This window comes from Homo sapiens, chromosome 5, assembly GCF_000001405.40.
Source record: "Homo sapiens chromosome 5, GRCh38.p14 Primary Assembly".
Classification (NCBI taxonomy): domain Eukaryota; kingdom Metazoa; phylum Chordata; class Mammalia; order Primates; family Hominidae; genus Homo; species Homo sapiens.
Genome location: NC_000005.10, coordinates 115,201,771 through 115,228,315, shown reverse-complemented (window position 1 = coordinate 115,228,315; position 26,545 = coordinate 115,201,771). Strand labels below are relative to the sequence as shown.

The 26,545-nt window shown below is 35.4% G+C and overlaps 1 protein-coding gene across 4 annotated transcripts in view, besides 1 other annotated feature; it reads left to right on the top strand.

Moving 5' to 3' along the window:
• The window catches only part of PGGT1B (protein geranylgeranyltransferase type I subunit beta), a 58,866-nt gene extending 34,562 nt beyond the window's left edge, over nt 1-24,304 (top strand). The window contains exons 7-10 of one of the 4 annotated variants that reach the window (XM_011543490.3): nt 6,308-6,492; nt 11,343-11,451; nt 15,733-15,896; nt 23,577-24,304. In XM_011543490.3, coding sequence (XP_011541792.1) covers nt 6,308-6,492; nt 11,343-11,451; nt 15,733-15,896; nt 23,577-23,687 — 569 coding nt within the window. In that variant the 3' untranslated portion in view covers nt 23,688-24,304. Of the gene's footprint in view, nt 1-6,307; nt 6,524-11,342; nt 11,452-15,732 lie in introns of those variants that run through there. The other 3 variants (XM_005272020.4, NM_005023.4, XM_047417314.1) reach the window with 3 other exon arrangements.
• Nucleotides 18,948-19,057: a silencer, noted in NCBI's record as "silent region_16247". NCBI's record gives its function as "represses an Ori minimal core promoter by ATAC-STARR-seq in GM12878 lymphoblastoid cells {active_cell/tissue: GM12878}" and the evidence as "EXISTENCE:reporter gene assay evidence [ECO:0000049][PMID:35858748]".
• Nucleotides 24,305-26,545: the final 2,241 nt, after the last annotated feature.

Below are 26,545 nucleotides of genomic sequence, written 5' to 3'. Positions count from 1 at the left end.
CCTCTACACCTGTAACATGCTTGGCACATAGTTGAACAAACTAACAGATGGTTCTTTATTAATTATCTCTGTGTTGATGGCACCCAAAACTGTGTTTCCCAGTCTGCACTGTTACTTCTGTGCTGCATAGCCCTCTTTCCATTTGCTTGCGAGGCATCTTTCTCGATATGACTTCAGTATCTCAAACTGCATATTTTTAAAACTGTCATTCTCCTCTTCAGCCTGTTGATGCTATTCAGAAATAACGTAGATTTATTGATTTTTTAAAAAAATTTTTTTGGCCTGGGGGAAGCCAGCAATCTGGAATTTTGAGTTTAATTTTAATCTCCTTTTCAGTTTTTGTTTTTAATTTGCCAGTTACACCAGTTGTCCTCCATAAATTAGCAACTTATAATCCCTGATCTACAGACTAAGAGGAAAATAATGTATTTATTAACCAGCTGCTGTTTGCCCACTACCATCTGATACTTTACATACAGTCTCATTGAATCCCCATATCAACTCTCTGAGAATAGACATTTTTGTCTTAGTCAGAACTCAGAGAGGTAAAACCACTATGAGTATTAAAGAATAAAGGCTGTAATAGAAATATGATTTTATACACAAGTGTGGAAGAAGATGGAGAAGAACCTAAAAGGGGTAGTTGGAGGGTCAGGGAAAATCACTGACAAGTCTCCTGAAACAGTGGCACAGGTGGACAAGTCAGGCCATACAGGGAAATCTAGAAAGCCAGACACAGTCACCTGCCAGATTGTGACTGTGGTGGATAAGTCTGTGAAGGGCTGGTGCTCCTGCATCTGTATGTGGGCCTGACGTAACCAGGGCAAGAGTAAGAAGAATTTGGATGACAAGTATATGGGAGAATGAGGGCAAGCTGGACTCTACCAGCATCACTGCCTTTGTTGCTTACCTCCTCTAACCATAACCAGGGTAATGAGTGTTACTTGACTTCCACCATACAAGTCTCACACAGATTGCTCTAACTTTTGACCATACAGGGAAGTGGATCCTGGGGAACAGAATTCTAGCTTAGCCAAGTTGACACAGTAGAAAACCACAATAATTATTGTTATTTCACTCAGAGAAGTCACTTGCTTAGTAGGCTTACATATCAGGTTAAGTGTCATAACCCACTTTAAAACCCTGTGCTTGCTCAGTAATCTCATCCTGCCTACAATTAAGTCCCTTAGTTTATTCCTCTGTAATCTGATTCCAGTCTAGCTTTGTAGACCCACATCTGAGTGACCCCTTCCATGCACTCTAGGTTGTAAGAAAACATACTCTCCAAACATTTGTATGTGGCTTTTCACCTCTGGACGTTGCTAATATTCCTTTTCCTTTGCTTGAAATGCTTCCTTTCCACTTGCTTCTGCTTGTTTCTCTTTTCATAACCGTCAGAGTTTAATCTATCTTTCTATACCTGTTTCCAGGGGTTCAAGTGTCACCTTCTCTATAAAACATTTCTTCATCTTTTGTCCCCCTTAGTTCTGAGCAAAATTTCCCTTTTCTGTATTCCCATAATACTTCATTCATGCCATTTTTATGGTACTTACCTCTGTTTATCTTTGCTGGATTGTAAGCTGGTCATATGTCTTATTCCATATGCCCTTGTACAATGTACTATTTGATGAATTAGTTATCCTGTATTCCACTTTGCATCTCTTGCTTGGAAAGTTGAATTTGGAATGTGTACTTCTGTTAGTTTGTTATTAATTTAGTTTCTTCGTGTGCCTTTCTCATTCCCCAATTTAAATATTATTTTATATATATATATTTTAATTCAACTACTCTTCTCCAACTGTAGCTTAGCTTGGAGCCCATTTTTCATGAAAACTAAACAGACATATTTTATCCTTTTAGGCTGTGATCATCAAATGTAGTGATTCTCTTTATCCCCATGATTCCCTTGAGATAGTGCATGTTGAGTGTCCCTTATCCAAAATACTTGGGTCCAGAAGTGTTTTGGGTTATGGAATATTTGCATTATACTTACCAATTAAGCTTCCCTAATCTAGAAATCAGAAATTTGAAATGTTCCAGTGGACATTTCCTTTGAGTGTCATGCAGGCGCTCAGAAAGTTTCGGATTTGGGAGCATTTCAGATTTTAGAATTTTGGATTAGAGATACTCATCTTGTACAGTTTTAGGGTAAAATGTTCCTTTTGTTTTGGAAGAATTGAATTTTCCTGCTTTGTTAGAGATAAAACTATTCTCGCTGCCCCCACCCCCACCCCCGCCAACTCAGGATTCATAATGCAGTTCAGATAAATTAATTTGGTTCCATGATTCTTTTAAAATATCTCTACTTCTTAATTATAAAGATAAATATTAAATCTAAATAATCAACTCCCTTGAATTTACTTCACTTGGCCGGGCATGGTGGCTCTGCCTATAATCCCAGCACTTTGGGAGGCCGATGTGGGTGGATCACTTGAGGTCAGGAGTTCAGGACCAGCCTGGCCAACATGATGAAACCCCATCTCTGCTAAAAATACAAAAAAAATTAGCCAAATGTGGTGGCACACACCTGTAATCCTAGCTACTCGGGAGGCAGAGGCACAAGAATTGTTTGAACCCAGGAGGCGGAGGTTGCAGTGAGCCGAGATCACACCACTGCACTCCAGCCTGGGTGACAGAGCAAGACTGTCTCAAAAAAAAAAAAAAAATTTACTTTACCTTTTTAATATGGTGTTTAATTGTAAAATGATGTACTTATTTATGTACCTATTTATTTAGTTTTCTACTTTAGCTATATGATTTTTGACTACCTTAAATTTCAGAAGACATGGATTCTTTCTGATAACTTAGTATATACAAGTACTAAGAGAATCTCTAAAACTGAGCTGGAAAACCTGTGGGAGCAAAATAAGTTATAACTGTTACACTGTTAAAATATAAGTAGATCATAACATAACAGAGCTGAAGTCAGGAACACCTCCTTTACCCTGCAGTTGGAAGAATTGGGGTAGGTTAAGAGAGAGTCTCTATGGTCCCTTTCATCTGTGATGTTTTATGACTGAAGTATTCTGCATATGCTAATTCTCCATATAACTGAAGCACATCACGTAGGTGGCAAACTTTTAACCATTTCAGATGAAAATCTTTCTTATTCTTTTATTTGTATTTGCCTTAATATTCTTACTATTATCCTTAAACTTTTGTTCATACTATGTCTTCAACTAAGGCATAATGAGCACAGTTTCACCTTTTCTTGATGAATTCAAATCATTATAATAAAGAACAATTCTAGTATTGTACTTTTAATATAATGATATAGTATTCTTGAAATATTTTGAAGTGTGTACACATCATTGATCTAACCCCATTCAGCCCCAAAAAGATATTCCATTTTAGTTCTTGTGCCTGTTTTTAAATAGAATTTTGTAATCTACTTATCAAAATGTCACTTTTCTTTTCTTCCTGTTTTTATGTCTGCCTTTAACACTCTTCTAACATACTACTACTTTTTTTTTTTTTTTTTTGAGACATAGTCTCTCTCTGTCGCCCAGGCTGGGGTGCAGTCAAGGGATCGTCCTACTTCCACCTTCTGAGTTGCTAGGACCACAGGTGCACACCACCATGCCTGGCCAATTTTAAAAATATTTTTTTGTAGAGACAGGGTCTCCTTATGTTGCCCAGGCTGGTCTCGAACTCCTGAGCTCAAGCAGTTCTCTCACTTTGGCCTCCCAAAGTGGTGGGATTTACAGGCATGAGCCACCATGCCCAGCCTAACATACTAGTTTTTATACAGGGTTTTATAACTAGTTTTTTAGAGATTTGTGTAAAACAAGAGACTTTAGGAGCAACAGGCTTACCTGTTGGTAAATGAATGTTAAAGCATAGACTTTGTAAATGTTTCTGGCAATCCAGAGTCCAAACTTACTTCTGGAGTTACTATGTTCAAAATCCAGTAGTTTGGACAAAGTAAAGAGTGTTTTTCTTTGAGTTGTGCCAGTTTGCATTAAGTAATCCTAATAAGTAGTTTGAGGAGTAATCCTTAATTGCCTCTTTTTACTTTTCGGGAGTTTGAAAGGTTACTTACTGTCTATTAGAGACTTTATATTTAATGATGTAATAAAACTTGAAGTCATGGCTTGGTTATCATGAAAGAAAAATTGGAACTAGTGAGTCATTTGAAAAGGAAATAAGATTACTAGTTGCTTAATAGAAATTATTTTAAAAGGTTGTAATAATTTTTTTAGCTTTTCTTTTGATTCACTCAAGACTAACATAGATGTCCCAACTAATTCTGAAGATTAAATAGTTCTTAACTGACAGTAACACTTCTAATATGATAACTACCTTGAGTTTTCTAGAGGGAATGCTCACCTTTCCTTTGCCAGAGAATACATTCAAGATTTGTAACACTGAAAGGAAAGTTAAGGCATGAGATGTATTAGGAACAAGGCATTTAAATTGCTGAAATTAATAAAAATCACTAGGTGAAGTCATAATAAATTGCAAGTATAAGTATTTTCAAATTATTTGGAGTTGACAACAAATAGTGCCAGTAAAAAGTGTTGTTTGTTTTCTTATATGGAAAAATACTGACTTTTCATTTCCTGAGGAAAGTACCTTTGTGAGTGTATTAGTTTTCTATCGCTGCCATAACATTTTAGCACAAATATAGGGGTGTAAAGCAGCACAAATTTATCCTCTCCATTTCCGGCCAGAGCTGTACATCTGTAACTAAGTCTGAACTGAGACTTACAGGGCTAAAATCAAGATGTCAGCAGGGCCGGCTCCTTTCGCCAACAGTGTCTCCAGAGGAGAATCTGTCCCTTGACTCTTCCCAGCTTCTAGTGGCTGCTGGCATTCCTTACCATTGGCTACAACACTCAAATCTCTGGCACCATAGTTGCATTGCCACCCCCTCTCTGTTAGTCTAATCTCCTTCTCTCCTCTTATAATGGCACTTGTGAGTACAATTAGGGCCCACCCAGATAATACCGAATAATCTCCCCATTTCAAGATCGTTTAACTTAATCACATTTGCAAAGCCTCTTTCTCCGTATAAAGTAACATTCACAGGTTCCAGGGATTAGGACTTAAATATTGGGGAGGCATTATTCAGCCTACGCAGTGGGTATGGATACGTTTTGAAGTAATGCTGTGCATCTGCTTTCATATTTGGTTTCCCTCTTTCCTACCGCCCCCATCCCCCACCATTCTTTTCTTCCTTAAAATTCTTTTTTTTTTTTATACTTTAAGTTCTAGGGTACATGTGCACAACGTGCAGGTTTGTTACATATGTATACATGTGCCATGTTGGTGTGCTGCACCCATTAACTCATCATTTACATTAGGTATTTCTCCTAATGCTATCCTTCCCCACTCCTCCCACCCCACAACAGGCCCCGGTGTGTGATGTTCCCCACCCTGTGTCCAGGTGTTCTCATTGTTCAGTTCCCACCTATGAGTGAGAACATGCGGTGTTTGGTTTTCTGTCCTTGCGATAGTTTGCTCAGAATGGTGGTTTCCAGCTTCATCCGTGTCCCTACAAAGGACGTGAACTCATCCGTTTTTATGGCTACATAGTATTCCATGGTGTGTGCATTTTCTTAATCCAGTCTATCATTGATGGATGTTTGGGTTGATTCCAAGTCTTTGCTATTGTGAATAGTGCCACAATAAACATATGTGTACATGTGTCTTTATAGCAGCATGATTTATAATCCTTTGGGTATATACCCAGTAATGGGATCGCTGGGTCAAATGGTATTTCTAGTTCTAGATCCTTGAAAAATCACCACACTGTCTTCCACAATGGTTGAACTAGTAAATAGGAACACCTTTACACTGTTGGTGGGACTGTAAACTACTTCCTTAAAATTCTTAAGCTGACTAGTTGTAGTATCTGTATATCAGCTTCTAACTTGTTTATCTTATTTGTGAAAACTTGTTTGTAGCTTAGGGTTGATGGAGCCTCAATTCATAAGCAATATACTGTCTTTAAGAGAGTTAAAAATCAGTCTCAGGTGATTGGGTCCTGGGCAGGGAGTTAGCAGTCCCGGACTTTAGTTCCAAATCTGCTGTTAACCATGTAATTTTAAACAAGTTCCTTAATCTTGTTCCAAGTCTTACTTTTTTTCATAAGTAAAATGTTTCTTATAGCTTTATATTCTCTGTTTTAACAAATATTGAAGACTTGTGTTTAGTGGTTATTTTAAAATCTCATCTTTTAAATTTAAATTTTATTTCACTATTTTCTAGAATTATATAACCACTTTTTCCCCTTGAACATTTTGTACTATTTTCATAAGCATCTAATTTGAAGTTTAAAACGTTGTGTGGTTTTGATTAACAGGAGGATCAACTTTTTGTGGCATTGCCTCACTATGTCTGATGGGTAAACTAGAAGAAGTTTTTTCAGAAAAAGAATTGAACAGGATAAAGAGGTGGTGTATAATGAGGCAACAAAATGGTTATCATGGAAGACCTAATAAGCCTGTAGACACCTGTTATTCTTTTTGGGTGGGAGCAACTCTGAAGGTAAGAGAAATAATAAAAAATGAGAAACCTATATTCTGTGTTCATATAGATTGTGCTAAAAAGGTTTGATCTTTGTAATGTGTATTAAATATTGTTAGGTTTAGGCTACTGGATTTTCTCTTTTGCTCTGCCAAAGCTAGTCTCTGTATGGTTTTTCCATAGAAATCAGTGATCTCTTGTGCTGCTTGAAAATTTTCATTCTTGGAAAACTCAAGTAACCCAGAACTTGAGTTTTATGCCTACTTAAAACCTTACATAGAACATATTAAATACTTACTTTCTTGTGGGTATAAGGTAATAAAAAAGTTGGAACTGACTAGTTCATATAAATCAGGGATCTGTCTGAAAATGATAGCAGTAAAGGTTTTATGGGAAGGTATTAATCTTAAAAGACAAACCATGGGTCATTTCTTCAAAAACCATGTAAGGACTTTTTTATTATTTATTTGTTTAAACCTTCTGAAACTCATCAATTGACATGCCAGCACATTTTTTCCCATCTCTACTACCTTTTAATATACCTAATTCCGTAAGGTTATTTAGTCACTAAATACACACAAGTTTTCTCTGTCTTAAAGTTGCCTTTTCATCTTTAAGAATTGTTACCTTGTTCTGATATTCTGCCATGTAACAGGAGTCTGTTAGAGGAGTCCATGTTTGTCTTCTCCATAATATCCTAATTTTTTCTCTTAAAATTTATGTATAAGGTTGAAAAAAATTTGGAAAAGAATGGTTTAAAATGATGACAGTAGTCTCCCTGTCTCTCCTCACTTGTAGTACCATTTCTCAGGTGCATTTCAATTTTTTTGGACTGTGGGAAATTTCAAGCATATTCAAAAGCAAAGAGAAAGGTATAATAACACCCATGTGTCCATCAACCAGTCTCAACAATTATCAACCGAAAGCTACCCTTTCTTCATCCATACTCTAATTCCCTTCAATTCACTGAATTATTTTAAAGCAGATCCCATATATCATTTTTTATATTCTCTGGAAATTTTTTAATATAATCTCTAAATGAAAATAACTTTTTAAAAAAAACAGAACCTTAGTGTCATTATCACATCTAAACAATTAGCCATAATTTCTTATTATCATTAAATATCCAGTGATTTCCTGTTGTATCACGTATATTTCCTATTGTATCACATCAAGAGGCATGTAATATCCAATTATCTCTCCTTTTAATCAAAGAGCTCCACAGTTGAAAATATACATAGCACATTATACTAACAGTTTAAACATTTGTAAGTATACAGTTCACTAGCATTAATTCCATTTACAATGTTGTGTAATCGTCACTACCATGCAAAACTTTTTCATTATACCCAACATAAATCCTGTATACATTAAACAGTAATTCCCTATTCTTCTTTCCCCTCAGCCTGGTAACCTCTCCTCTGCTCTCTGTCACTATGAATTTGTCTATTCTAGGTACCTCATATAGGTGAAATCATACAATATTTGTCCTTCTGTTTCTGGCTTATTTCACTTAGCATAATGGTTTCAGGGTTTATTTATGACATGGCATATATCAAAATTTAATTTTTTAATGGCTGAATAATAATATTCCATTGTATATGAATACCACGTTTTCCTTCTTCATTTATCTGTTGATAGTCACTTGCGTTGTTTTCACCTTTTGGCTATTGCAAATAATACTGCTAAAAACATGGGTGTATAAATATATGTTCAAGTCCGTGCTTTCATTTTTCAGGGGTACTGTATGTATATAGGAGTGGAATTGCTGGGTCATATGGTAGTTCTTCATTTAACTTTTTGAGGAAATGCCAAACTTTTCCACAGCAGCTACAACATTTTGTATTCCCTCTAGCAATGTATGAGAGTTCCATTTTCTCTACATCCTCACCAACATTTGTTTTTTCTGTTTGTTTTTATGTATATATATTAATATAATAGCCATCCTAATGGATCTGAAGTGTCATTTCATTGTGGTTTTGATTTGCTTTTTTCTAATGATATTGAGTGTCTTTCTGTGTACTTATTGGTCATTTGTATATCTTCTTGGGAGATATATCTATTCAAACCCTTTGCCTATTTTTAAATCTGGTTTCTTTTGTTATAAAGTTGTGGGAGTTCATATATTCTGGATATTAATCCCTTCTCAGATATATGATTTGCAAATATTTTCTCATTCCTTGAGTTGCCTTTTTACTCTGTTGATGGTGTCCTTTAACGCACAAAAGTTTTTTGATGCAGTACAATTTTATCAAAATTTTTCTTTTATTGATTGTGTTATTGGTGTCATGTCCATAAAATTATTGCTGAATCCACGGTCGTAAAGATTTTCCCCAGTGTTTTCTTCTAATAATTTTATGGTTTCAGGCCTTAATGTTGGGCCTTTCATCAATTTTGAGTTAATTATTTTATGTAATGTAAGGTAAGATCCAACCTCATTCTTTGACATGTGGATATCTAATTTTCCTAGCACCATTTGTTGAAAAGACTGTCCTTTTCCATGAAATGGTTTTGGCACCCTTGTCAAAAGTCAGTTGACTATATATATGTGAGGTTTGTTTCTGGACGTCTTATTTTATTCTGTTGTTTTATATGGCTGCCCTTGTGCCAGTACTATACTGTTTTAATTACTGTAGCTTTGTAGTAAGTTTCAAAGTCAAGAAGTTTGAGACTTCCAACTTTTCTTTTTCAAGATTGTTTTGGCTATTTGGAGCCCCTTGCAATTTGATATGAATCTGGTAATTGACTTTCCCATTTCTGCAAAAAAGTCTTTTGAAATTTTGATGGGAATTGCATTGAATCTGTAGATCCCTTTGGGTAGTAGTGATATCTTGACACTGTTGAGTGTTCCTATCCATGAGCACAGGATGCTTTTCCATTTATATAGGTGGTCTTCAATTTCTTTCAGCAATGTTTTGTAGTTTTCAACATACAAATCTTTCACCTTTTTGTTAAGATTAAATTCTCAGTATTTAATCATTTCAGATGCTCTTGTAAATGAAATTGCTTTCTTAATTTCCTTTTGGATTGTTCATTGCTAGTCTATAGTAACTACCAACTTTTTATGGAATAGTTTTAACAGGCATTAAGGATCATTGCTTAAATCAATTATGGCATTAAGAGGTTACAAAACAGTGGTATTCTTTCATTCCTTCTCAATTTATTAACTAGCATTGTTTTTTAAAGAAGAATTTTACCTTACCCTGAGATATACTTTGTACAGAGAAGGACAGATAAATACTGAATTCTTTCCCTTAATAGTGTTCAACAAAATGAGTTGGTTCCCTACCATCCCCTCAGCCTTTCCAATAAAATATTAGATTTTAGAGTTTGGGTTTTTTTTTTTTTTTTTTGAGAATCATTGTGAACACATAGATTTTAACATTTTTTAGTCATATATTATATATAATATATATTAGTTATATATGACATATATATATATATATACACACACACATATAATGCTTAAATTGTCCTATCTTTAGTCTATAAGAACCCTTTCAAGTTGTCCCAAGTCTTTTTTATTTGACGTCAGTAGTCTTTGACAGCTTTCTGAAGGCAACCACTTTTAAACTTTTTAAAAATGTTTTAATTCTTGTGGACATTACCATAACTTTAAATCACAGACTGACTTCTTATCACCTTTAGACATTATTGATGATTCCCAACTATGAGAAATTAAGATTTAGCCTCTCACTTTTCCAACAAATTGTTACCCGTTATAGTTAGTTCTGAATATTTTCCTCATCTTCTACCTTCCAATGCTATATAAGGTTACCTTTATTTTTATAATGTTAAGTTAGGACACATTCATATATTTGTTCAATATTAATAATCACATCTTTCAGCCTTTGCCTATAGGTTGATTCTAAAATTTAAAAACCAGTAATCAACACTTATTATGGGATAGTGAAAATATTGTTTATTGCTAAGCCAAGTGCAGTGTTACTATTATAATTTTTTCATTTTTATGTAATGACCAGTGTGCCACTGATGGAAAATATTCCTAACATCAAGATTCAAAAAAGTCTTTTTCCTTATATTTTATTAATTAAATCAATGTAAATGAATAAATTTGTTTCCTGTTTGTACCATAACTTTCTTATGAGTTTAGCTTTTCTTTTTGAGAAATAATGCTTCTTCATTAGTCACTAAAAGCTGTGGCTCTCTCTGGTTCATTAACATATATTAAATTGCTTTGTATCATCAGAAATGTCTTGAACCCTCTTACCTACTGTGCACCTCATCTTGAACTTCACAGTATTATTTATTTATTTGTATTTTACTTTTATGGGGTCTTGAGAGAAAAGCCAAGTACATGTCCTAAATCATTAAAAACTATATAGTTTTTTATGTTGCAATCATTTTTGTCTTACCTTTTTCTTTCCTAATTAAAGAGCTATACTTTTTTACTATTTTCAAAACTGTCTGTAGCATCTGGTTAGTAATTTTTGTTTGCTCTTTTTTTAAAAAATATTTTTAATTCCAGTTACTACTAGTTTATAACTAATAGCTCAAGAGCTTATCATAAGAGTTAAAATATGGGTAGATAAAATTGTACTTTTTAAAATGACTGATTATGTTGAGTGGATTCGAGTTGTCTTTTGAATTTAGCTTAATGTGATTTAAAGGGTTCAGTTGGCCTGGTTCAGAAGAAGGAAATAGAGAGTCGAGAAAAGGAGAGTAGATTTGATAAGAAAATTAAAAAGTTAATGTGATTTACTCATTTCAAAAGTGCTCAAGGCCCCAGAGACTTGGTCTGAGCACCTTAGCTAAAGAAAAGCATATCTAAATGACACGTATCTGAAATTTGAGCCAAAGGTTGATATGAGTTTTATGTCAGTAAATTTTTATTTGTCATGTCATTTCAGCTTCTAAAAATTTTCCAATACACTAACTTTGAGAAAAATAGAAATTACATCTTATCAACTCAAGATCGCCTTGTAGGGGGATTTGCCAAGTGGCCAGACAGTCATCCAGGTAATTATTTTCTTTGTGAATCAGAACAACCTTTATTTCCTGAATAGATCTTCAAGCATCTTTATCAGAAAAGGCATATGATAGAAAATATATCCAGTTGCAAAGTTACATTAAATAATATTTTTTAAAAGGTATATTGTGTAAGCTTAGGATAAATTTAGGGTATTAGAGAGTATAAATGAAAGAGTTTATTATCAAGATGCATGGGAATAGTGTGCATTTTTTCCCAAATATTTTACTTAGTAATGTTTTATTTCATTTGCAGCAATAATGTAGATGGTCTGAATGGGTCCTTTCCAAAGAAGAGAATTATTTAGGCCATCCAAAGCCGTTAGGATTATTAGTCATGACTTGAACTAAGTATAATAAATTACTCCCAATCCTGAAGGGAATCAGTTCTTACTCTTTTCAGAAGTCATTAAATAGGCCGGGCACAGTGGCTCATGCCTGTAACCCCAACACTTTGGGAGGTCAAGGCAGGTGGATCACTTGAGGTCAGGAGTTCAAGACCAGCCTGGCCAACGTGTTGAAACCCCGACTCTACTAAAAATACAAAAATCAGCCAGGTGTGGTGATGCGTGCCTGTAGTCCCAGCTATGCGGGAGTCTGAGGCAGGAGAGTCACTTAAACCCAGGAAGCAGAGGTTCCAGTGAGCCGAGATTGCACCACTGCCCTCCAGCCTGTGTGACAGAGCGAGACTCTTTGTCTCAAAAAAAAAAGTCATTAAATAAAATATTTCAAATCCTGAATATATGTGTTTCTCACTTCCCATACTCTTGTTCTCCAAATTTCAACAGATTCAGACAATATAAATGGCATGGCACTCAAGGCCCTTCCAAAATTTGGCTCCTCTCCCACCTCTAGCATCATTCTGCAGCCTACACCTCACCCGACATATGTTTTCACCTCCAGCAAAATGAGTCTATATACAGCTTCCCTATAAAAATCCATTTAAGTGTGTTTTGAAATAATTTCAAACACTGACACTTTTGATAAGCAAGTAGTTAAAGAATTAGTTACAAATATGAAACTAGACACAAGGAATGATTGTTTTTGCCAGTATTGCAATAGAGTCGTGGTTTTTATTATCAGCCTGGAAAGTGCCTCATCAACTCATCTTCCATCACAGAACTGCTGTGGTTGGAATGTGTGATTGAATCAGAATATAAATAAGGAGCTCATGAAATCAATTTTTGTATTTGAAATGAGCAGGAATATTTCCTTACACCCCTACTTGCCTATATTTTCATATAAAACATGCTTCCTAGGCCAGGAGTTTTGGCTCACGCCTGTAATCCCAACAGTTTGGGAGGCTGAGGTGGGCGGATCACTTGAGGCAAGGAGTTTGAGACTAGCCTGGCCACATGGTGAAACATTGCCTCTACTAAAAATACAATAATTAGCCAGGCGTGGTGGTGGGTGCCTGTAATCCCAACTACTTGGGAGGCTGGGGCAGAAGAATTGCCTGAACCTGGGAGGCAGAGGTTGCAGTGAGCCAAGGTCACACCACTGCACTCCAGCCTGGGCAACAGAGCAAGAGTACATCTCAAAAAATAAAATAAAATAAATGGCCGGGTGCAGTGGCTCACGCCTGTAATCCCAGCTTTGGGAGGCTGATGCTGGTGAATCACTTGAAGTCAGGAGTTGAAGACCAGCCTGGTCAATATGGCGAGACCCCGTCTCTACCAAAAATACAAAAATAGCCAGGCATGGTGGTGCACACCTGTAGTCCCAGCTACTCAGGAGGCTGAGGCAGGAGAATTGCTTGAACCCAGGAGGTGGAGGTTGCAGTGAGCCAAGATCTCACCATTGCACTCCAGCCTGGGCGACAGAGCGAGACTCTGTCTCAATCAATCAATCAGTAGTAAAACATGTCTTCTTAGAGAAAGTGTACATTGCTTTCAAAGTCGTAAGCCAAAGTGTGTCTTCAGAAGTTAATTTCTCAAGCAAAATAATATCTTGAAATTTTTGATATCTCTAGTGCCTCAAAACTGAGAATTATTTTGGTCTTCATTCCATTTTTTAAACCAGTGCAGGGTACTGTTTTAACAAATAATGGGAGTAGGGAAATGACAGTCTCTTAGGAAACATTTCTTGTATAAACATACTTGAAATACATTCAGTGTTTCCAATAGCTTTTTTAAAAGAAAGTTCTTGAGGCTTTTTCCGGAGAGTTCAGTTGCTAACTTTAACATTTGTGTAAATATTTGGATGTACTACTTACTTTTTACAGATACATTACAATGTTTTCAGAGTATGCAATAGAAAGCATAGAAGGGCTTTGCTAAATTGAATTTATGTGTAAAGATCTGGTCCCAGAATCTTTAATCATTTTAACAAGATTCTTTAAAATTAAGCTTATTCTTCATTCTAGTGAATTTAGTGGCAAATTTGATACAAAGGGATTTTATATACATTTATGAAAGAAACTTCAAAAGAATAACCTTTTATTGTGGAGTAAATATATATTTCAACATCTAAAGTGCTTTATTATGGAGTAAACATATAGTTCCACATCTAAAGTGCTTGTACGTTGCCACTTACAGATAAGGAGTTTTTTTAAAAACACAATTTGAGGCTTCAAACAATTGAGTTCTGATCTCATTGGCTGTTACAAAAATCTTTTTGAGAAACAAATAAGTTTTATTTGTTACTTTACCCAGAGAGATTTTAGTTTTACACAGTTCTATTTTATGTTATTATAGATATATATTTTCTGTTGTACTTTTTCCTAGAAAAGTTTCCTAGTTTCTAGAAAACAAAGCTTAATGTTGCTTTGTACCCTTTGTAGTTTTAGAATAACTATATGGATGTAATATGACAGGTGAAATCAAGTTTATTTTTTATAGTCTGAAAGTCAAAGGAAAGTGAGCCAGAAGAAACCTAAGTATTTTCTGAAAAGGCCTAAAAGGTGATCAACATGGGCCTCCATTAGTTAAATAACATTTTCACAATGGCATTGAGTAAGCACAGCTATTTGTCATTTCTGTTTTGAAAAATAAGTGATACTGTTGTAAGTAAAGCTTTTTCTTTAACTCTTTTGACAAAGTTTGATGTGGTAAGATGTGTTGAACTTTTTGTTGTTGTTGTTTTGAGACAGGGTTTCATTATTTTGCCCAGGCTAGAGTGCAGTGATATAATCATGCCTCACTGCAGCCTCAACCTCCCTAGGCTCAGGTGAGCCTCCCACCTCAGCCTCCCGAGTAGCCGGAACTACAGGCGCACGCCACCATACCTGGTAATTTTTGTATTTTTTGTAGAGATGGAGCTTCACCGTATTGCCCAGGCTGGTATCGAACTCCTGTGGCTCAAGGAATATGCCCTTCTCGGCCTCCCAAAGTGCTGGGATTACAGGTGTGAGCCACCACACCCAGCCTGTTTTGAACTTTAATAGCTCTTAAGGCCATAAATGTCGGCCAATTCAAAAATAGAAAAAAATTTTGACTGGTACAAAACTGTCTTTTTAATGTTCCTATAACTGCAAAGCTCTGAGCTCTTCAGAAGTCTACATAAGACTCCTAGGCAGGAATGGCCATGTGATTTCATTGGCCACTTTAATAGAAGAGGATCGCTGCCCCCTGAAAGATGGGAAACTAGTGAGCCAGTGCAGAATTGTCATGGTATGAGCACTCATATTATTTCAACCAAATAGAATGTGAGTTTGTTTTTATTGTCAGATCAGATATTTTTACAATGACTGACATTACCCTAAATAGGAGGATTAAATATGGCACAGCATTCCAGAATGGATTATTTTTGCATAAGCTCCTTTTATTTAACACAATGTTAGGATAGTACTGCATATGGTTTAGGAACTTTCAGAGGTAAAACGTGGAGCGAGGGATATTGCAACTTAGATTCAGAGTTTTGTTTTCGTTTTAAAGAAAAAAAAACTTAATGATATAGCATTGAAGCTACTCGTTTTCATGTTCTCTAGTAAGCAAGAGGGGAAACTCCCCAAAGTGAGAAGTCTTACATATGACTGCTGCTACTCCTGTCTTTTAATCACAGAGGTTATGGACAGTATCAGCTCTTCAGCTGGAAACTGTTTTCCTTTGTTAATGATATTTTCATGAATAAAATATTTTATTTTGATCATCTGAGTTTTTTTTTTAATTGGTGTTTGAGGCTTTGAGAAAGCAAATATTTTTAAAACTATATTAGCATTTCTCTAAACTTACTTTTAATGGAGTGATGGGCTGGTAAATATGTGGCTAAAATATTCTGTAGAATGTACAAGTAAGAATGCCTATTATGATGTTTTAAATGCCTTCTTTTCAGATGCTTTGCATGCATACTTTGGGATCTGTGGCCTGTCACTAATGGAGGAAAGTGGAATTTGTAAAGTTCATCCTGCTCTGAATGTAAGCACACGGACTTCTGAACGCCTTCTAGATCTCCATCAAAGCTGGAAAACCAAGGACTCTAAACAATGCTCAGAGAATGTACATATCTCCACATGACTGATTTTAGATTGGGAGGGTGGGGGGATTTGTAGCATAACTGTAGCTCAAGTTTAAAAGCCATGTATAACCAAGTGTGCTCTTTTTTTAAAAGGTAGAGTCTTACAATCAAATCTCCTGCTGATTTCACTTTGGGATATGGTCTTGAGCCAGTAATCTTTATACTGGGTTTCAAGAAAATCTTTGTTGAAGTTTGAACCACAACTTTGTCGTGGTTCTTAAATGTTTATACTGTATTTCTAAGAAGTTGTTTGAGGCAAATTAACTGTATGTGTGTAGGTTATCTTTTTAAAAACTCTTCAGTGCAAATTGTATCTTATTATAAAATGGACACAAATTTTCAAGTTTACACTTCATATAGCATTGATAATCTTCAGGTGAACACTTAGTGATCATTTAAAAAGCTCACTGCTGATCGTAGAAAATTTGCTTTAATTAATTAAGTATCTGGGATTATTCTTTGAAAACAGATGACCATAATTTTTTTTAAAGAAGAGTGACTTATTTTGTCTTATTCTTAAGTAAAGTGTGCCAATTAAACCTGTGTGGCCTATATAAATGAAGTTAATAACTTCATAGTAAGAATAAATAGGTTTAACTAATGTGATAGTTTTCTAAAAGGAGATTGTTTGAAGACAACTATTATGTAACTGAGGGAAAAGCAACTTAACTGTATGTGATTGTGAATGAGAAAGTTTTGTGCTATGTGGGTCATTTATCTAGACATTGCTGTGGTGAATACCAGTTATGTTTGATTTTATTCTCAAATCATTAGTTGCCTTTTTTTTTTTTTTTTTTTTTTTGCTTTCTAGGAAGAAAACAATCTTTTTTATCTAGAAGGAAAGATACTTTGTGTTTTCATTTTTAGCCATTTGAAGTTTTTAATTTATTGCCCCCAGTGTGTTAGCTGCTCTAATTTCAAACTAATACTTTTCTAATTTTTTTCAAATTAAATAAGTAAAAAATACAAAAACAGAACCATTCAAACAGATTCAGTGGTGTAACTCAATACATGGTCATTTTTATTCTCATATTTTCAGGTAAGTGAAAGGGAAATGCGACCATTTAGAGGGTAAGAAATAGGGTTTTGTTTTTGTTCATTGTTTTGTTTTAAGTCTATGAACTAGCTAATTATAAAGGAGGTAGTATAAAAACTCTTCATTAGTAATTAATTTATCAATAACTCATATCCGTTACTTGCTCAGTGACATTCAGAACTATTGCGTCTAGTACTGAAATGGGGAAAGAAATCTCTTCACTAAAGGAGTTGGCTTTAAGTTAGTCTTGGTGATAATAAATGTTGAAATACAAGTATCAGTATAAAAACTGGATTACTGGTATCACTGTTTAGGCATTGTAATACTTTAAATGTTATCTTTTTTTCTAAATCAGAGGGAAAAAAATGTTGTGAAATAACAGTCCTTCCCAAGGGAAACACTGTGTACTTGGAGAAATGATTGATTTATTATTGGCATGCTTAGTTTTAAACCTGAGTTTGCCAACTGTATGTTTTTTAATTAGAAATAAAATAAATCTTCTGATGGTGGGGGAAAAAGTAAGCTTAATAACAGATGTTATCCGTCTATGGGTTATTCCAGTTGCTACTATTTAAATCCTGGCAGATTAAGACATCCATATCTCAAACTAAGTCATCTCTTAGACATTGGAAGTTAAAGTAGCATATATATAATGGCTTTAGGACTATATAAAAAGCCCAAATTGTTTTTTCTGTATCACCAAGAAAGGTTAGAAGGCAATAAAGGTAGTAACAGTGATTTTATTCATAAATGTTAGAGAAAAATTCCAATCTAAAAGTATTTCATAAGGCTAAATATTTTCTAACTCCTGATAATTTAATACCATAAGATTATAAATTTTAGTATGCTTCTAATTGATACACTTGTGGGAGACTTTCTTGTGAAACTTTATGGACTAGTAAATGTTCACATTCCACAGCAACTGAATTGACCAGAAAATAGCAGCCCAGTGTGAATTGTGGAGAAACTATTTCTAACTTTTCTAAATAGTTATTTACAAGAAAAGCATTTATCGATTAAATAAATTATAAGCAATATTTCACATATACACTTTATTCCTTAACAGGAGCGATGTAATGAGGGAAAATACGAAGTCCGAAATCTCAAAAAGCTCTGTTACCTACTCTATACTTGTCTCCTTCCCGCCCCCTAATTTTGTGGCATTTTTTTTTTAGAAGGTAGGAGGAGGAGCTTTATTTTGAGCATCTGTGTACAAATGAGATTAATCAGATCATATGGCCTAATTTAACCTGTTTATCATTTCAGTGTTTTTAGATTTGATCTATAATATATATGTGTTATTAGATCTTTAGTTATTTATATTTAATCTAAATTCATATAGAAATCTTGCTGACAGTGGTATATAATTTGAAAACTGTTGGACCTGATCATTTTTGAGAGACAGTTAATGAGGAGGTGCTCTGGAATCAGATGACCTGGGTTTAAATCCCAGATTTGCCAGTTCAGCAGCATGATCTTGGACCCTAACTCTGCCGTGGATAAAATAAGGGTAAAACCTAACACACAGGGTTTAGGATTAAATGAGATAATACAGATAAAGCACTTAGGATAGTACCTGGAATACAGCAAATTTCAAATTATAGGTTCTTTATAATGATCATAAAATTATTTTTGTAATTAAAACCTCTCTTCTACAACAGAAAGAGGTCTTAACAGTTTAACCTCAGGGAAAATGATGACAACAGTGTTGTTTTCTAATCTCCCCATAAGAATACAGAGCAACTAGGATAGCCACAGACACTATTACAACGCTAGATGACAAGGTATCTCTATGAACTTCAAAATACAACTAAGTGAGGACAAACCACTGAACCACATAGTTTCAGTATCTGTGGGAGGAAGTAGAAGGAAGGCAGCTGGTTTCTGACAGCTCTGCAAATTGGAGAACTACAACACTGCCCACAGTTTCTCAACTACAAAGTGCAGCGGGCCAATCTAAGAACAGACACTGAAACTGGGAAGTGACTACAGAATCTCATTTGCAGATGAATGTTAAAGCAATATGATAAGGTCTGCTGATTGCATTAGAGCTGTCTGGGTTTTACGCTGTGTACCTCTTGAAGCTTATGAGACAAAGCCCAGCACTGAGGACAAACTTCTAGAATTAGAATCCAAATGGGCAGGATGGGTAAAATAGGACAAAGGAAAGAAGATCTAGATAAGTATTGGGAAGAAAGGCCAAGACACAGAGACATTATATATGTGTATTTTCATATATATATATATTCTTTTAAATCACTGTGAAAATGGGAGCTCTAAGGCTGTGAAGTCATCCTAGAGCCACTCCTTCCTCCTAAAAGTACAGAAAAACTCATTTCAGTTAAGGGGAAAAAAAGAGTAAGTGAGCCAGGATTACAGTCCAACTCCAGTCAAAGTTAGTATAAGAAATAAGAGAATAAATAGATCAACATCCTCACAGACAATGAAAGCACACCGGAAGGACATGACCACAAGACAGATAAAAACCTAATATTTGCCAAAAAATAAAATGCAAATATGACAGGAAATTTATATTAATTAGTACAGTTATCAATAAAAGTAGGAAAAGGGGAAAATTAACCAAGTACCAAACACTTGGAGTAAAAAGCAAAATAAAGCAGAAGGAAGGAATTAATAAAAGCAAAAAAGAATTACTAGTAGAAAACCAAAACAATAGAGGCAATAATAAATCCAAGTTGGTGATGGGTAGTGCGGGGAGTTGAGTCAGATAAACTACCAGCTAACCTATTTAAGAAAAAAAGGAGGAAGCACAAATACAAAAATTTAAATGACAAGGGGGAAATAGTAAAACAGGAAATTTGTTTAAATTGACTATTTTGAGCAATTTTACACAATAAATTCAAAAACTATTTTGAGAAAAATGCAAATTGCCAAAATTTACTCTAGGTAGATAAAGTCACAACAAACCAATTACCGTAGAAGAAACAAATAGTTAAAAGTACCCCTTACCAAAAGAAGCATCAAGCCCAGATTGTTTCAAGGGGATTTCTACCAAACCTTTTAAGATTAAATAATCCCATTCTTGCTTAAACAATTGCAGAGACTAGGAAAAGAATCTTGAACCTCAAAGTGCCAAAAAAAGAAAAAAAACAAATAAAGAAAAACTCCTGAATTCATTTTATAAAATGAATGTAATAGCATTGATTCAAAAACCTGACAAAGATGGTACCAAAAAGAAAATATAGAGCAATCTCATGAATATTAATAAAAAGTTTTAATGATAACATTAGCAAACAATCCAACAGCACTTTCAAAAGGTAATCATGACTAAGTTGGGTTTATTGTAAGAATGCAAGGGTAGTTCAATACTAGATAATCTGTTACTATTCATATTAAGAGTTAAAAAATATCTTCATCTTTGCAGAAAAGACATGATAGAATTGAGCACTCACTTATGTTAACTATACTAAGTAGAAATTGATGAATAATCTATTAACATTGTACCTCTACCTAAAAGCCAGCATCTTAAATTTCAAAGCAAAGGAGACTTTCCAGCTGAAGTCAGGAACAAGACATGCCCACTAACTCCTCTGCTACTTAACAATGTGTTGAGAGTTATAGCCAATGAAGTTAGACAAAATAAAGACGTGAATTGGAAAGGAAGAGGTAAAACTATTTGCAGATATGAATATGTATCTAGAAAGCCCAAAGGAACTTGTTGAAAAACTAAACAATAAAAGAACTTAGTAAAGTAGCTATTAAATACAATTTACATAAAAATATCAGTAGGCTTCACCAGACACAAGTGCATACTTTGATTCCATTTCGGTGAAGTTCAAAACAGACAGCATCTATGTATGGTGTCAGAAATCAGCACCCTCTTTCAGTCACTACCTCTCTTCCCAAAGGTAAGTGCTGTCAAAATTACCATCAATTAGTTTTGTCTGTTTTTGAATTTTATATGAGTGGAACCATATAGTATACATTATTTTTCAACTGGCTTTAACTCAGTAGGACTGAAAGAGGGTACAAGGGAGACTCTGCGGTGCTGGTAATGTTCTGTTTCATGATCTAGGTGCTGGTTACGTAGGTGCATTCACCTTATGAATATTTATCAAGCTGTATATGATTTGTGCACTTTTCTGTATGTATAATTATAGCTCAGTAAAAATGTTTACTAAAAAGAGTAACAAGACTATATATATATATATATATATATATATGTATGTATATGCAAACCTAAACTAGTTAGAAGATACTTGAAGAGAAGACCACCTTTGTGATAGCAAAAGTAAAAAGAAAACTTAATGTGTAAATTTAAGACACATCTAAAATCTGTATGAGGAAAACTAAAAAAACTCTTGAGAGGCAAAAATGTAGATTCCACCAAATGGAAAGATACATGATATTCTTAGATAGACAACATCAAAACATGTCTTTCCCCACTTAGGTTCATTTATAAATTCAGTGCCATTCCAATAAAAATTATATTGTTATTTGAGAGAACATACTAGAATAACCATGGAAACTGAAAAGAATTAGAGGGGACCAGCCATATCCGACACTAAAACATACTCTAAATCCTCCATGGCAGAAGCTATCAGAATTTTTTAAAGTGTGCACACTTTTTGGCCCAGATACTCTCTATCTATAGATTTAGCATAAAGAAACATGCAAATAGGCAATGATACATTTTCAAGGATCTCACAGCCACATTTTTGTAATTGTGAAAAATAAGACACATTATGATACATTTATGTAACTCAATACTATGCAACTGTTAAAGTATGGATATTGGAAGGCATTCGTAATGTTGAATAAATGAAAAGTTTTGTATTGGCACATAAATAGGAAGTCCAATGGAACAGAAGAGGAATTCCAGAAATAGACTCAGTGGCATTTAGAATACAGTAAAGGCAGCATCTCAAGTTAGTGAGAAAATGAACTTTTAAGTAAGTGCTATTGAGATTACTGGTGCTTAATTATTCAGATATTTACAATTTTAAAAAATATATAGCTTATTTCACTTTGAACCTTTTTTTAAAATGGTCATTTAGTTTTATAATTTAAAGAAAAATGATAGTTCTCTCCCCATCCCAGCCTATACTATACCCACAGCCTATACTTCCTGGAGGTAAACACCACTGTTGCATACATCTTTCAGACCTTTAATCTCTGTATATAGAGATATAGAAATAGAGAATATTCTTTAAATATCTGAACATTTAAGTATTACTCATCCCAATACAATATATACTTATACAAATAGATATATGTATGTATACTATACATAAAGATCTGAGGTACTAAATATTCCATGGTTTTTTTTCATTCAACAATGTATTATGAATGCCTTTCAATAGCCATACTTTAATAGTTGCATAGTATCACGTTGCATAAACATATTAGGTCAGTGCATAAGTAATTGCACTTTTTACCATTTTAATGGCAAATGAGGCACTGATTAATCAGTGCCTTATTTTTCACAACTACAAAAATATTGCTGTGAGATCCTTGAAAATGTATAATTGCCCATTTGCATGTTTCTTTAAATTTATAGATAAGGAATTACTGGGGCAAAAAGTGTGCACAATTTAAATTTGATGTTTTTGTTTTTGCCAAGCTGCTTTTTAAGAAGGTTGTACTAATGCACACTTTTATCTTGACACTAAGATTTTAAATATGATCAGAAAATGGGTTTCTGATAGTAAAACTGTCTACTTGTAATAATTGTGGCATTAGAAAAGACCTTTGTGGCTTCGTTCCTCAAACTCATTTACGAATTATAAATCTGAATTCCAAATATGAATTAACTCACACAAGATAAAGCTTTAACAGTTAGTAGCAGTACTGTAACTAGAGTGCATGTTTTCTGTCTCCAGAAATAACATTCTTTTTATGCCACATTTTTTTAACTGAGGTGATCATTCTCCACCCTCTTCTTTCCATGTTTTTCCATGTTTGTTCAAACTTTTCATTAAATATCTTGAGGCTCTAACTAAATTAAGGGTGGCCATTAAAATTGTATGTGGGATTCCCTGAACCAACTGGTAATGCACTACCAGCATATAAGGTGTCCTCATTAAAGCAGTTGGTGATTGGTACATGGGACCTCACTCATGTATGTTTGCATCTACTTGTGAGTCAAAAAGTTTTCTTAAAGTATAGGTGGGATCATGAAAGACATACAATTCACTGGAGAAATTGTGAAAAAGTAAAAGATTATGAATTTAGGCTCAAAGCCAATTTCCCTCTCATTTAATTCTACATGAGCAAGTCAAGGAGTTTGGTAGAGCTTTATGAAATCTCTAAAGATTGAAGGAAAACAATCACTAAAATCGATTTGATAAAGTGCAACTAAGTAGTATGCTAGCCTGTTAATGGATTTTCATCTTGTCATTTAAGTTTCAGCAATTGAGTACCACACTAGAACACCCACAAATGAGATTCTGTTACAGAGTATCTTTTTTCTACTACAGAACATACTGTAGACAGTTATTCAGTGGTTAACTTGTGGAAATAATCAGAAGATGCTTTTCACTTTTATGACTGGATATATTTTAATATTTATCATATTAAGAGAAACTTAGGTTACTTACAGCTCATAAACGTTGCTATGAACATCATTCATTTATTCACTTATTTATTTTTATGGTGTTCCTAGAAAGAATTTCCTGGACTAAAGGATTTATGCTTTAAAAATATTGGTAGTTACTGCCAAGAATTGCCATCCAGAAACAGTGTAGCCATTCATAAACTCAACAACAAGGTATGAGAGTGCCTGTTTCCTCATATCCTTTGTGACACCGGATTTTATCAAGCTTAAAGTTTTTTCATTCTAGGTGGGTGAAAATGGTATTCCGTTATTGATAATGTGTGGAAATCAAGTTCTAATAAGTTTGGGGGGAGGTTAATTCTTTATATGTGCTGTATGAATTAATGCCAACTGTATGCCTTTGAGAGTGAAATCAGAATAATGTCTCTCCACTAAAGCAGGACTTAGAGCACTAGTTTTCCAAATGTTGTCTACAGATGGAAACACTAGCATCACCTGGGTACTCGTTAGAAAGTGCAGATTCTCTGGCGGTACCTTAGACCTCCTGAATTAGAAACTCTGGGGGTAGGGTTAGACATTTGTGTTTTAAACAAGCCCTCCAAGTGGTTTCAATGCACATTCAAAGTTGAGAACCAATCACTGATAGAGAAAAAGCAGCTTGGGTAGAAACAGTTGATTATTTGCAAATTTATATTTTAAAAAGATAGGATTCTTAACAGTAAGCTCTTTATAATTCAACAATGTGATCTTTACTCCTACCCCCGAAAAACTAATATGATTTTAGTGTGTGGTAGCTGGATCGAAAACATAATAAATACTCAGATATGCAAAGAAAACGTTTTCTCAAATGGATTTCATTTTTATTTACCCATATCTTTGGCTATTAAGGGATGGGGGGAGGCTAAGGAAAAGGGCCATTTGAATGTGTTAGCTAACAATCTCAGTCTCTTCCGATTTCAGCAGTGTCTTTTTTTCCTGCTCCTTGCTGTCTGGGTATGTATGAGTCTTTGTGGGGCATGGGAGGGTCTCTGTTGCACACTGCTGCTCTGGTCTGGTCCCTGGACTGGTGCCTACTGAGGTGTCTGCTGCTAGTGTGGCCTTTTGAGGTGGGTTACTGTTTGCCTCTGATTTCAATTCTGTGGCCTCTTCACTCCGGTCCCAGGCCTCTTTCTATCCAACGGATCTTAGTGACTCCATGTCGGTATCCTCTGCTCTCCCCCACTTCCCCTCCCCATGCACATTTGCTATCTGGCAAATGCAGAAACTCTTAGATCTTGTTTATGCCCGAACACTGTCTCCTCTTCCTATAGCTACCTCCCTTCCCACCTTAATGCTACCTGGACACTCTGGATAGATAAGCCAAAAGTCTGATTCTTTTAGGACCGCACACAGCCTTTTCTAGGCTATGCCTGGAGAAGCAGGTCACAAGGCCACCCCACATTACCATGTCTAAATTTTAATTTTTAAGTTACAAATAAAACTAGCAAATTCTTATGTTCTATATTTTTAGGTTGGCAAATATATCTTCATAATGACAATTGAAAAAATAGCAAATCATATCAAATAACTGTGAATAGCACAAATTCAAAATTTACTGCATTTTCCACTCTAGGCCATGATTTGGCAGTGGCTGCTGCTGGGCTGGAGCAGAGTAGACAAAGGGAAGAGATTTCTCCCTGGCTTGTTGACTTGCCAGCCCTGGCTCCCTACAGTCACTGGGCATATCCACAAGATAAACATATGCTTTCTCTTCTTATAGAGGGAGCAGTGGTTTGGTCCCTTCTCTCCTGCTTAGTCTTCTCTGTCCACCTGCACCCTCTCCATCTGAGCACAGGCTTCTTTTTACTCCACCCAGCCCGACTCAGGCAATCTTCACTCAACAATATGTGCCCAGCCTCCAGCCCCCACCGACATCACCCTTTCGGGTGCTTTAAAGGAACTGGAAGTTAGAAGGCCAGGTTCCCATTTAGAAATCTTGGCCTTATAAAGTTCCCAGCACACTGCTGGCCCTTGTACTCCCATCCCAGAACCCCTTCCATGCTTTGAGAGCTCCCTTACATTTGTGAAGGAATCCTAACCCCTTTGTCTGAGCTCCATATTACCTCCAGCTCCCCCAAACTGCTCCTTCATCATACCTTGGACCTAGGGGTCCACATACTTTGGCAGCCTAATCAAAAATGACCCAGGGAAGAAGCCCATGCAGGTTCTGTAAGTGGACTGAGATAGGGAATTCCAGTTTCTCTGGTATGTGGGGCAGAGTCTAGAAAGGGGCCCCACTGATTCCTTACCTTATGGACAGAAGCACCAGAATGGCATCCTCTTAAGTGCAGGAGACCCTCTTGCCCAGATCTAAGGGCAGCACTGGCAGGCCACCAGCCTCTATGTTCTTAGTTTCCTTCATGCCTGTCTAGACCTTGTTACTTCCACACATATCCTCTCCTTTTCCCATCTTTCATCCTTCCCACACTTTCCAGGGGTGGGAGTAGGAGAATTTCCCTTCTTCCTTTTTCTCCATTTCCTGAGTTCTCTCTACTACTGATTTTCATTTTAATTGGAGTTTAAGAAACTTAAAAAATCCTTTCTCAAGTGACAAAGTCTGACTATGATTCTTGTTTTGCTGCAAACTCAGAAGCTGCATATTTCCTCACTTTATCCTTGCTGTAATATTCTAAACCTCTTAAGGTAAATGAATGCCTCTGATGGAATGGGAAATGCAGAGGTAAAATGCACATTCAAATTTTTCAAATTTAGTATCCCTGCCAAATTAATAGAAGTAGGGTAGCTAAAATGAAGAGGGTGATGATACCACTGTCCTCTGCACTGTCCGGGTACCACAATAGGTTCAAGGTGCCACACATTAAAAAGGTCAGAGAAGATCAGGCTTTCCAGGAGGGCAAGGAGAAATAGACCATATTTTTCACATTCAAATATATAAAGGTCTGTTCTCTGGAAGAAGGTTTACATTCAGTGGCAACTTTAGAATTCCTGTTTAGGAGGGGCTTAGGGGTGGCCATCAGTAAGAAAGTGAAGCTTAGAGGGCTTGCCATGAAGGTGATTTGCATATAACTGTACTTCTT